At 37.8% G+C, this 13574-nt stretch overlaps 1 protein-coding gene across 8 annotated transcripts in view; it reads left to right on the top strand.

The window, feature by feature from the left end:
* The window catches only part of NBPF4 (NBPF member 4), a 50450-nt gene that overhangs the window by 17138 nt on the left and 19738 nt on the right, over positions 1–13574 (top strand). For 3 of the 8 annotated variants that reach the window (XM_047446894.1, XM_047446895.1, XM_047446897.1), the window contains 3 exons: positions 8095–9174; positions 11722–11877; positions 11980–12192. In XM_047446894.1, the coding sequence (XP_047302850.1) occupies positions 9156–9174; positions 11722–11877; positions 11980–12192 (388 nt within the window). In that variant the 5' untranslated portion in view covers positions 8095–9155. Of the gene's footprint in view, positions 1–6218; positions 6911–8094; positions 9175–11699; positions 11878–11979; positions 12193–13574 lie in introns of those variants that run through there. The other 5 variants (XM_047446899.1, XM_047446900.1, XM_047446896.1 and 2 more) reach the window with 4 other exon arrangements.

Raw genomic sequence — 13574 nt, 5'->3', positions numbered from 1 at the left:
AGATGCAAAATTCCTCAGTAAAATACTACCAACCCAAATTCAACAACACATCAAAAAGGATATATGTCTTAACCAAGTGGAGTTTATCCCTGGGCTGTAAGTTTGGTGTAGTATATGCAAATCAATGTGATACAGAATGAAAGATGAAAACCACATGATCACCTCAGTAGCTCCAGAGAAAGCAGATGACAAACCTCAACATCCTTTCATGAGAAAAACTCTCAACAAATAAGGCATAGATGAAAATTTCTTCAACATCATAAAGGCCACTTATGAGAAGCCCACAGTTAACATGATACTCAATCAAGAAAAACTGAAAGCTTTTCCTGTAAGATCCAGTCCAAGTCAAGGATTCCCACTCTCACCACTTCCATTCAACATGGTACTGGAAGTACTAGCAAAAGCAACCAGGAAAGAAAAAGAAATTAAAAGATTCAAATTGGAAAGGAAGAAATGAAATTATCACTGTTTGCAGATAATATGATCCTATATGTAGAAACCTCTAAAGACTCTGCAAGAAAACCCTGTTAGAACTAATAAATGAATTCAGTAAAGTTGTAGGATATAAAATCAACTAATAAAAATCAGTTGCATTTCTGTACACCAATAATGACCTATTCAATAAAAAATTTTAAATCCTATTTATGATAATATTAAAAAGAATAAAATCAGCAATAAGTTTAACCAAGGAGGCAAAGATCTATACACTGAAAATTATAAAATGTTGTTAAAAGAAATTGAAGGTACAAATAAATGGAAAGGAATCCCATGTTTATGGTATGGAAGAATAAATATTGTTAAAATGTTCATACTGCCCTAAAGTGATCTACAAATTCAAGGCAATCCCTATCAAAATTCCAATAGCATTTTTCACAGAAATAGAAAAAAAACTCTAAATTTGTATGGATCTGCCAAAAAACCAGAATAGACACAGCAGTCCTGAGGAAGAAAAGCAGAGTTGAAGGGATCATACTAGCTAGTTTCAAATTATATTACAAAGTTATAGTAATCAAAACTGTATGGGACTGGCATTAAAATAGACACATAGACCAGGAACAGAATAGATAGCCCAGAAATAAACCCAAGTACATACAGTCAACTACTTTTTGACCATGCCCCCAATAACATACAATGAGGAAAGGATAGTCTCTTCAATAAATGGTGTTGGGAAAACTGGATATCCACATGCAAAAGAATGAAATTGGACTCATATACAAAATACACAAAAATCAACTCAAAATGGATTAAATACTTATGTGTAAGACAAAATCATAAAACTCCAAGAAGAAAACAAAGGGGAAAGGCTCCTTGACATTGGTCTTGGCAATGACTTTTGTGGGGTGGGGGTTGGGGGTGCAGGGGGATAGGACACCAAAAGCAATAACAAACAAATGGGACCAGCTGGGCATGGTGGCTCACACCTGTAATCCCAGCACTTTGGAAGGCCGAGGCGGGTGGATCACCTGAGGTCAGGAGGATGAGACCAGCCTGGCCAATATGACGAAGGCCCATCTCTACTGAAAATACAAAAAAATTAGCCAGGCATGGTGGTGGGAGCCTGTAATCCTAGCTATTCGGGAGGCTGAAGCAGGAGAATCGCTTGAACCCGGAAAGTGGAGGTAGCAGTGAGCCAAGATTGCACCACTGCACTCCAGCCTGGGCAACAAGAGCAAAACTCCGCCAAAAAAAAAAAAAAAAAAAAGGACCACATCAAACCAAATAGCTTCTGCACAGCAAAGGCAACAATCAACAACATGAAAAGGCAGCCTATGGATTTGGAGAAAATATTTGCAAGCCATATATCTGTTAAGGAGTTTCTATCCAAAATATAAGGAACTCATAGAACTCAATCACCAAATAAATAAAAAATAGACAAAGGACCTGAATAGATATTTCTCCAAAGAGAGCAAACAGATGGCCAGCACATATATGAAAAGTTGCTCAATATCACTAATCATCAGGGAAATGCCAGTCAAAATCACAGTGAGATATCACCTCACACTTGTTAGGTTGGCAATTGTATAAAAGACAAAGAGAAGTGTTGGCAAGGGTGTGTAGAAAAGGAAACACTTGTACACTGGTGGAAATGTAAACTGGTACATTCCTTATGGAGAAGAGCATGGAGTTTTCTCAAAAAGTTAAAAATATGACCCAGCAATCCCTCTTCTGAGTATATATCCAAAAGAAATGAGATCAGCACCTACTAGAGATACCTGCACTCTCATGTCCATTGCAGCATTACTTACAATAGCCAAGATATGGAAACAACTTAAATGTCCATCACAAATGGTGTTTTTACTTACATGTAAGAATGTGCAGTATTTGGTTTTCTGTTTCTGCATTAATTCGCCTAGGAGCATGGTATGTTTTTCTATATGTTTGTCTTGTCTCTGATTTCCTTCCACAGTGTTTTGGAATCCTTGTTGTAGAGATCTTTCACTTCCCTGGTTAGCTGTATTCCTAGGCATTTTATTCTCTTTGTGGCTATTGTGAATGGGGTTGCATCCCTGATTTGGCTCTCAGCTTGGATGTTACTGATGTATACAAATGCTACTACTTTTGTACATTGATTTTATATCCTGAAACTTTACTGAAGTTGCTTAGCAGTTCTAGCCTTTGGGGAAAGACATTCAGTCAGCTACATTTGACCATGCTCCCAATAACACACAATGAAGAAAGGATAGTCTTGGGCAAAAAAAATGGAGTGTTCTAGATATAGAATTAAATCATCAGCAAAGAGACATAGTTTGACTTCCTCTGTTTGTATTTCAATGCCTTTTATTTCTTTCATTTGCCTGATTGCTCTGGCTAGGACTTCCAGTACCATGTTGCATAGGAATGGTAAGAGTGGGCATTCTTGTAGAAGTTAGAAAGAGCTCAAATGAACAATCTATGAATCAACAACTCTGTGCTGAAATAAAAAAAGAAAAAAATTAACAACCTAACATTAGACCAAGGGGAACTAGAAAAAGAAGAGCAAACCAACCCCAAAGCTAGCAGAAGAAAAGAAAACCAAAATCAGAGCTGAACTGAATAAAATTGAGATGTGAAAATGCATACAACAGCTCAACAAATCCAGAAAAAAAAAAAACTGGAAGAAATGGGTGAATTCCTGGAAACGTACATTCTCCCAAGATTGAACCAGAAAAAAGCTGAAATCCTGGAACAGACCATAAGGAGTTCTAAATTGAATTGGTAATAAAAAACCAACCAACCAGAAAAAGGCCCAGAACAGGTGGATTCATTGCTGAATTCTTATATAATAAAGAGCTGGTAACAATTCTACTGAAATTATTCCAAACAACTGAGGAGGAAGGACTCTACCCTAACTCCTATCAGGAGGCCAGCCTCATTCTGATACCAAAACCTGGCAGAGACACACAACATTAAAAAAAAACTTCAAGCCAATATGCCTGATGAACATAGAGACACAAAACTCCTCAACAAAATACTAGCAAATCCAACCCAGCAGCACACCAAAAGCCAATGCACCATGAAGAAGTAGGCTTCATTCCTGGGATGCAAGGTTGGTTCAACATATGTTATGTGATTCATCACGTAAATTGAACTAAAACTGAAAACAACATGATTATCTCAATAGATGCAGAAAAGGCTTTTGATAAAATTCAACATCCCTTCATGTTAAAACTCCCAACAAACTAGACACCAAAGGAACATACCTCAAAATAATAAGTGCTATCTATGACAAACCCACAGCCAACATCATACGGAATGGGCAAAAGCTGGAAGCATTTCCCCTAAGAACTGGTAAAAGAACAAAACAATAAATTACGCTTCAATAATACTTTTAAAAAATTGCTCTTCAAAGGCATTGGTAAGAGAATGAAAAGACAAGCCACACTTAGGTAGAAAATATTTGGAAATTATGTATCCGATAGAGGACCTCTGTCTGCAACACTAAGGGAACTCTCAAAATTTATTAATAAACAGGCAATCAAATTTTCAAATGAATAAAAGATTTGTAGAGATATTCCACAAGGAAGATATATGGAAGGCACATAACAATATGACAAGATATTCAATATCATTAGTCACTAGGAAAATGCAAATTTAAACCACTGTATACCAAGTAAAATGACTGAAGTTAAAAGAATCACCGTTCCACATATTGGCAAAGATATATGGAAACAAAAACACTCATACACTGTTGATGGGAATGTGAAATTTTACAAGCATGTTATAAAACAGTTTGGCAGCTTCTTAAAATAGTAAACCTGTACGTATCATATGATACTGCTATTTCACTCAAATGAAAGGAAAGGATATGTCCATACAAATTCGTTGATAAAAGCTTTAGTTTTAAAACCAGAGCCATCCAAATCTATGAACAGGTGAATAAATAAAATAAACTGTGATATAACCATCACATGGAATATTAGCAATATAGCAGAGTGATCTATTAATACACATGACAACAAAGCTACATCTCAAAATAATTATTCTGAATTAAAAAATGAAACCAAAATAATGTACATAGTATATAATTCTATTTATAGAAAACTTGAGAAAATTTAAATTAATCTATTATGACAGAAAGCCAACCAGTGGTTGTCTGAGGTGTGGGGAGAAAGGTGAGGGAGGAATTACTACGTAAACAAGGACACTTTGGAAGTGGTAGATATATCCACTATCTTTTTTGTTTGTTTGTTTTTTGACACAGGGTCTGGTTCTATCACCCAGACTGGAGTGCAGTGGCACACTCTTGGCTCACTGCAACCTCTGTCTCCTGGGCTCAAGCCATCCTCCCAACTCAGCCTCCCAAGTAGCTGGGACTACAAGCACATGCCGCCACGCCTGGCTAATTTTTGTATATTTTTTAGACACAGGGTTTCACTACGTTTCCCAGGCTGGTCTTGAACTCTGAGCTCAAGCAATCCACCTGCCTTGGCCTCCCAAAGTGCTGGGATTACAGGCATGAGCCACCATGCCCGGCCTGTATTTACTAATCCTGATTGCAGATGTGTACTATGCTCAAACTTTTTAAATTATACACTTTAATTATGTGCAGTTTTTTGCATGTAAGTTATATATCAATATAATTGCTAAAAGTTTAAAACATTATTTTAAAACTGCCATAGCTTGATTTAATACATCTTTTTATATTTTAAAAAACTGATAAAATTCTGTATATTATCAGGACAAAAGAGAAAAAGCATATGATTACCCTGACATACACAGAAAAAGCGTTTGGCAAATTGAAAACTTTTTTCATCATTAACAAAAACAAACTCTCAACTTGGTAAGAACAGAAGGCAACACTTCCAACCCTGCAAGGGCAGATTTGAAAAACCCACAGGTAACATTAATAAGATTGAATGCTTTCTATTAAATAGCGAAAAAGGTAGAATATCTGCTGTTACTCTTTCAATCCAGCATTAAACTAGAGATGTTATCCGATGCAATAAAGTAAGAACATAAATAAACAGAAACATTGAAAAGATTGAAAAGAAAGAATTGAAGCTGTCTAGAATTGAAGCTGTCTTTATTCACGGATCATGATTATGTATGTAAACAATTCCAGAAATCTACAAAAATATACCAAAACTATTAAGCGAGTTTGGCAATGTTGCAGAATATAAGTTCAATATAAATAGTCTGTTGTATTTCTGTATATTAGCAATGAGTGTTTGGAAAATAAAATAAAAATACAATTTCATTTAAAGTAACATCTAAATACGTGATGTGCTTAGAAATAAATTCAAGAAAATTTATGTAAGGCCAGTACACTGAAAACTACAAAACATTGCTTTGAGAAATTAGATATATATATAAACAAACTAAATTGGTGGGGAGATAAACCTTGTCACGGATCAGAAGAGCTGTTATAGTTAAAAAGTCAGTTCTTCCCAAATTGATCTCCAGATGCAATGCAATTCTAACAAAAAATTCCAACAGGCAATTTGGTAGAAATTTACAAGCTGATTTATATGAAAATGTCAGTGATCAAGAATAATAAGAGAGCAATATTATAAAAGAACAATGGTGAATGAATTCACTACCTATTTCCAGATTTACTATACAGCTATGGAAATCAAGACCATGTGTATTGTTGAAAAAAATAGAACATATATCAATGGAAGAGAAAAGAGAACTCAGAAATAGACCCTTACATATATGTCTAATAAATTATTCTTAGACGTGAATATAGTTATATGTATATATACATAATCACCTGTTTGATGATTTCTATCTTTATCTCCAAAACAGGGAACATTAAGAGAACATAAAAAGAAGCCACAATATAGGAGAAATTATATTTATCTCCAACAAAAGATTTTTTAATGGTATATATATAATGCAGTCTGATAAGATAAACAGCACAATGAAACAATTTCTCAAAAGACTTGAATAGATACTTCAGAAAAGAAGATATATGAAGGGTCAATTTGCAAATGAAATGATGCTCAACTCTTTAGTCATCAGGGAGATCAATCAATACAATGCTGAGATACCATTACATGTCCATGAGAATGGCTAAAATTAAAAAGACTGAAAATACCACATGTTGGTGAGGATATAAAGTACTTGGAAGTCCTATACTTGTGGAAATGAAAAATGGTACAACTCCTTTGAAAATCTGGCTAACAGTTTCTTATAAGACTAAACATGTACAGATCAAATGGACAGTCCTTGCACTCCTAGGAATTTACACTCTATGTCCACACAATGATCTGTATGTGGATGCTCATGATACTTTATGCATTATAGCCCAAACCTAGAATGACACAAATGTCCAATAACAAGTGAATGTATAAACAAACATGGTGTAGCCACACAAAGGAATACTACTCAGCAATTACAAGGCATTAACTGTTGACGAAAATGCTCACATGGATGGATTTTCAAATTAATATGATGCATGAAAGAAGGCAGATGCAAAAGAACACAGGTATAATTTCATTTATAGAAAATGGTGAAAAAGGCACTGCCAGAAAGTGACAGTGGCTCCTTGAACCTGAGGGTTGAAATACTGATTAACTGCAAAGGGTTACAAGAAATTTTGGGCTTATGGAAATTCCTATATCTTGATTATGGCAGTAGTTCCATTAGTGTATACATTTGTGAACATGCATTGGATTACATAGTTTAAAGTGGTGCAGTCTATTGTACTTAATAAATACCTTTATAAAGTTTATTTAATCATCTTAATTTCTCCATACTAGCAATTAGCTGCTAGAAAATGAAATTCAATAAAACATAATAGAGATTAATATCCAAAATCATTACATATTTAAGAATACATATAATGAAGCAGGTACAAAGCCCCTGAAAGCTATTGGTGAGAGAAATTAAAGAAGACTAAATAGAGAAATATATATTACATTCATGGATTGGAAGATTCAATTTTGTTAAGATATTACATCAACATAATTCTGACTAATGTTTCCAGTAGGAATTTTTAGAGAAATGTAAAAGCTAATTTCAAAATGTATTTGAAAATCAAAAAAGCTAGAACAGGCAAGTTGGTCTTGAAGAAGCAGTAAGTTGTAGGAGTTATTCTGCTGGATTTCAAAACTCATTTAGAGCTACAATAATTTAAAAACTATAGTACTAGTGTAAGTATATAGAAGTATATCAAGATAAAAAGAATACAGACTCAAACATTATGCTCACATATATACAGTTATTTAAAGTTTTTAAAAACAAACACGCCAGTGCCTCTCATTGGGGAAATGAAAGACTTTTCAATAAAAAGTTCTTGAGTGAAAGAAGTTTAAGACCAGCCTGAGCAACACAGCAAGACCTTGTCTCTACAAAAAATTAAAAAAAAAAAATAGCCAGAAATGGTGATGTGTGCCTAGAGTTCGAACTACTTGGAAAGCTGAGGCAGGAGGATCACTTGTGCCCAGGATTTGGGTATGCAGTGAGCACTCCAGCCTAGATGACAGAACGAGAACCTGTCTCAAAAAAAAAAAAAAAAAAGCATCTCACACTCATAGTAAGTGGCCAGAACATAATGCTGACTGCATGTTGTGAGGAAATGTATTAAATGAAACAAATTGAATTCAAGAAGGTTTTTTGTTTGTTTGTTTGTTTTGTTTTTTAATGTGTGTTTGTTTGTTTGTTTTGCAGAAATGAGGTACAGGGGAGAGAAACACCTACTTGGAAAGCACCGAAACAACTGAATTGGAAAATGTGGAAAGGGGATTGGGGGAGGGGACTCTTTCTGAGATCTGGCTCCAGTACTAACAGCAAAGGGAACTTGGGCAAGTTACAGACTCTCTGTGCCTTGGTTTTGTCATCAGCAAAACAGAATCATCCCATAAACTGTAAGGTCCGTGGTATCAGAGGGTCCCCAGTCTGACTGCACATCTAAGTCGTTAACAAACACATTCCAGGCCCCAACTGAGCGCACTGAATCAGAATCCCTGCAAGGAGGACAATGATCTTGTATTTGCACTGACCTTCCAGATGTTTCTTACTCTGATCAACTTGGGGGTAGGAACCATTGAGCTGCATCACATCATTCCAAAGCCCAAACACAGAAGCAGAACAAGAATATATTCAATGCATTCTCTAAAGTGGAGAAAACTGTTGAGGGAACCTAGAAGTGAAGGAAACCTGGCTTGCTGGGCTCCATCTTAACTTTATCCTGAGTACGGCAGAGACAGGAGCACTTTGGGACACATGCCTGAGGTAGTGACAGTCCAACATTGAAACAGTGGAAGCCCTAGTTTCAAATTCAAACTTGCTTTGAGTAGAAATTAAGTTTACATCTTTTTGCATAGCAACAGGGCCAGTTTTCTCCAAGCTGCTCAATTTACAAGAAAAGAAATCATATGGCTAAGAATTCAAACTTCAGCAGACATGGGTAAACAAGGAACTCTTACAAATCTATTCTAGCAACCTAACAAGAAACCAGAAATTTAGCAAGTTCTTTCCCGCTCAGGACAATTGTGTTCACTAGATCAGAGGCACTGAGACATGAAGAAAAGACCCGCTAAAAAGGGAAAGCCTTCCTTCCTGCCCTAGGACATCCCTGCCAACTTCAGGGAGGTGGGAACCCAGCTGCGCTCTCTACAGTATGGGTTACTTTTGTGTCTGGAAGGTGTCTGACATCCTGAGACCTGGACCCATTTCAAGGAGCTTTGGGAAGAGCCCAGATCACTGATGGAATTGGACAGTGCGTGGAAATGGTTCAGCAGGACGAGGGTAAGTGCAGGATCACGGCCAGGTCATTCTGAGAGACAATGAGTGGCACTGATGGGGTCAGACAAAGATTAAAAACAAAAGTTTGTGCTTCGACTTCAGAAACTCAATAACTAATTTGCTCTTATAAGTAATAAGCATTTTTCTATCTACATGAGAATTTAATCTCAAAACAGAAATCAGAAAAAATATCAAGTCCAGGGCATAAAACCTAAACCAGTGCTTAGATTATTCATTTTAAATAGAGCTAAGAGTAAAATCTTCTCCATAAAATACATATTGTATCTATACATAAAATATATGTTGTATCTGAGTTCAGGGTGTGATGAGTGTGACCATGGACTACCCAGCATTCATGTGGAAGTGAAGGAAGAGGACTGGATCAATCCCAGTGGAAAGCATGCCTCTCAGCAGCCCACACCATCCTCCACCTACACTGTGTAATGACAGTGCTTTGAGATGTAGCAAAGGCTGTAAATTTATCTATTCTCTGGTGTCTCAGAGACCTGACATTCTGTGTCAGAAAGAAAAGTTATAAAAAGGCAAAAGTCTTAATGAGAATCATTGGTACTCAATAGAATAGTGAATTAAATACAGCCAGGGGAAGACCCAAGTCTCATATTTCTCTGTATATTCCAAAGTTCCAGTGAAATTCCAGGTAATAGAGGTTATTTCCCACACTGTTAAAGCAAGGTTGCAGACACTTCTGAATTTCGGTCCCAATGCTGAAGGAGGGCACACCTCTGTCCTGGAAAATGACACAGGAATGAATGCTATTCCCATGACTCATTCTGGTCATTCTTCCAGCATCACAGAAACCAAAAAATAGAAATATAGCCAAATACATGATTTGCTATCCCTCTTCTTCAGGTTTCTTACCTGTTTCTTATGGATAATAACATTGCCTTAAGGATTATGATGAAAATATGATATCCAAGTATGTGTACAGTTTTGAACAAAATGCCTAGTATGAATTGGTCAATAAATAATTATTTTTATTTATTGAATTACATGGATTCTATAAATAATTACTGAATAATTATTGTGATTCCTTTTATTGGCAGTGCTCAAAATGCATCCCTGTGTGACCTCAAGTAAACCAGTAACTTTGTGAACCTGCAGTTTTATCATTTTTAAAGTGAAGAAACTAGACAGATTTTCATTCTGACACAGAATGTCAGGTCTTTGAGACACCAGAGAATAGATAAATTTATAGCCTTTGCTACATCTCAAAGCACTGTCACTACACAGTGTAGGTGGAGGATGGTGCGGGCTGCTGAGAGGTGCGCTTTCCACTGGGATTGATCCAGTCCTCCTCCTTCACTTCCACATGAATGCTGCGTAGCCCGTGGTCACACTCATCACACCCTCAACTCAGGCAAGTCCAGCAGCCACACTTAGGAGACCTGGGCTACAGGACAATCTCCCAAGTCCTAGCCTCACAAGACCTAGTTGAAGATGGAAGCTGAGAAAGTGAGGAGGTGGTTTGGGGGAGCACACTCCCCTACTCATCCCTCTCATCTCAAACTCACCTTCTACTGCACAGGAACACTGAGGATCACCAACCACCCGTGACCATGAGCTTGATCTTGCCAGGTTCGGTTAGTGGAATGCAACCACACATCAACAGTGTTAGAGCAACTCTATATGTGTGTGTATATATATATATATATATATATATATATATATATATATATATATATCTCCAACAATATTCCCTGAGAAGCGTTCAATGCCCTGTTCTTTTCAATATATGGGAAAACTAAAAACAACAAAATACCATCAGGTTTACAAGACTTCCCAAGATAGATGGTCACACATGTTTTCAGGGGATATATACAAATGATTTTGATCACTTGATACCTTGAAAAGAGCTATTTTGGGACGAGAATGATATTCGTAAGTGACAAGTATGAAACGAGTGTTCAGTGACATTAAAAAAGCAAACCGACCCACACATAGAGGAAGAGCTTTGGACGTAGGGATGTGAAACTGGTCTTAAGTGTAATGAAAAGCCAAGATGCTGCCCCAGTAAGAGAAAAGAAATCAACATAACAATGGGATGCAGCAAGAATACTGAGACAGGGTAGAAAATCTTTTTTAAAAGTGAATTATTCCTTCATTTTCAGTCGATACAGAAAAAACTGCAGAAGACCCAGAGGGATATCATAGCAGACTAAAAGTTTGCTATCTTTCACTTGTGGAAAAGCATTAAGATCATTTTACCTTAAAAAGAAGGTGAGGTGACTTGATGACTACCACTAAGAAAATATAACCTTCTGGAAAACTATCCCTACCTTGATGATTTTATACACACAAGAGATGAACAATGAGGAATATGCTTATATGTATTGAGAAAGAGGTGGGCCTGTAGCATTGTCACAAGGGTGCACAAATACTGAGAGTGACTGCTGAAGAAATGGTCCCCATCAGTGACCCTCAGGTGAGACCAGGGGGCCTAGTGTTTCAGCACAGCCTGGGCAATTGGAATGCAGGGTTTCTAAGATTCCATGACACCCCCACCTTCTAATTCTGTTATTGCAACTGCAGACCGTTACCTGGTACGCTGGCTGCTACCTCCCTCACTCTTGTCAGAGTCGGAGCTACAGGCAGTGCCTTCAGCTCTGAGCTCAGGCATCCCGGTCCCTGTTTTTGCGGTTAAGGACTCTAAAGTGTTGTGTCGTGTTCATCAACTTTTTCTCAACTGTAAGTTAACAATTCCAGTAATTGTCATCTCTCAGTCCTGATTAAACCTAATTGATTTCACTATTTTTTGACCCATCATGTGTCTGGGTTTCTTCTCCCCAGTCCCTGGCTCTACCTCTTCTGCCACAAACGTCAGCATGGTGGTATCTGCCGACCCTTTGTCCAGCGAGAGGGCAGAGATGAACATCCTAGAAATCAACCAGGAATTGCGCTCGCAGCTGGCAGAGAGCAATCAGCAGTTCCGAGACCTCAAAGAGAAATTCCTTATAACTCAAGCTACTGCCTACTCCCTGGCCAACCAGCTGAAGAAATACAGTAAGTTCTATAGATTCACAATGATGAACGTGATGAATGATCACCTGTGTTCTGAGAAACTGAACAGTCTTTTCATCGAAATTAATTTCATCCTTCCCATACTTCTAGGAAAATAGAAGTGGATGTTTTAACCTCATTTTGTTAAACATGGAAAACAGAGGCACAAAGTATTTAGCAACTTTTCCACATTGGCAGTCTGGTGTGAGGTGGGACTAGACTTAAAATCCTACTTATTGTCTTCTGACACAGGCACAGAACCACCTGTTTTCCTCAGTAAGAGGCTAAATCATGTTTATGAGAATCCTCTCTGTACCATATAAGATTCTACAGACAAGTAACATCTAGTCTGTTGGTCTAAATGTCTGGGACTAATGAACTTCCATTCAGTTCAAGCTTCTTTGAGGCCCAATAGGCAAAGCTCCATCCAGAGGACCCTGGGGGAAACATGGCAACTGTACAGAGTACCCACTCTAAGGAGCTTAAAGAGGAGACTGCCCCTAACAGAAACTGTGATATCTGTGACACCCTTCAAAGCAGGGAGTGTCCCAGTGAGAGGGAAGTGCTGCTTCCTGGGGCACAGGCTCTTATTCCTGAAGAGGAAGAAAGATGGCACATGAGACATTGTAGAGGTAGCAGTGTAGTGTGCAGAGCAGGGACCCTGGGCCAGTCTCCTGGGCTCCATCCAAGTTGCCTATCTTCTCTGTGCCTCAGTTTCCTCATCTGCTCATTGAGTACTATAATAATACCTACCTCTGTAAATTACTGCAATGAATTACATGACCTATTTCTTGTAAATTTCCTAGAACAGTTCTTGGAACAGAGTAAACACTATCTATTAGTTCTTCATTCTACTATTTCTAACTTAATTCAAACTTTAGTAGTATTTGGGCATATTTCTACTATAGCCTCACGGTCTTGTGCCTCATATTTTATGCAATTATATCCAGATATGATTTTTTAAATGTTTGACATATTCGCACTTGAAATTCCCAGTACAAGGGAAACTTTGGGTCCCATAGTCCTAGGGCCTTCCTGACTGTATAGAAAATCACTACTTCATGCACCAGTGCAGTGTTTTACAGGAGAGGCCGCAAGGCTTGGGAAAGTGGCCCAGGATTCAGAGTCAGACCTCAGGGGCTGTGAATTCTGACTCCGCCTTCTTCCAGGTGAATCATCTTGTCAAGTTACTTGATGTGCCCTTGTGTTTCTTTCTCCCCATCCCTGAGTTGGGGAGTATCAGATGCCAGAAAGTTGGGAGGTTGATAAATAAAGATGTGGAAATGCCTGCCTGGAGCCTGGTACTGGAGCTGCTTTCGTCCTTGGGATGGATGCTGCCGCCTGCCCTATAGACAGTGACCCCAGCAGCATGTCCCACCTTCCAC

Source organism: Homo sapiens, chromosome 1, assembly GCF_000001405.40.
Source record: "Homo sapiens chromosome 1, GRCh38.p14 Primary Assembly".
NCBI classification, from domain to species: Eukaryota; Metazoa; Chordata; class Mammalia; order Primates; family Hominidae; genus Homo; species Homo sapiens.
Note: the sequence above shows the minus strand (reverse complement) of the source record. Positions and strands in the feature narration are given on the sequence as shown.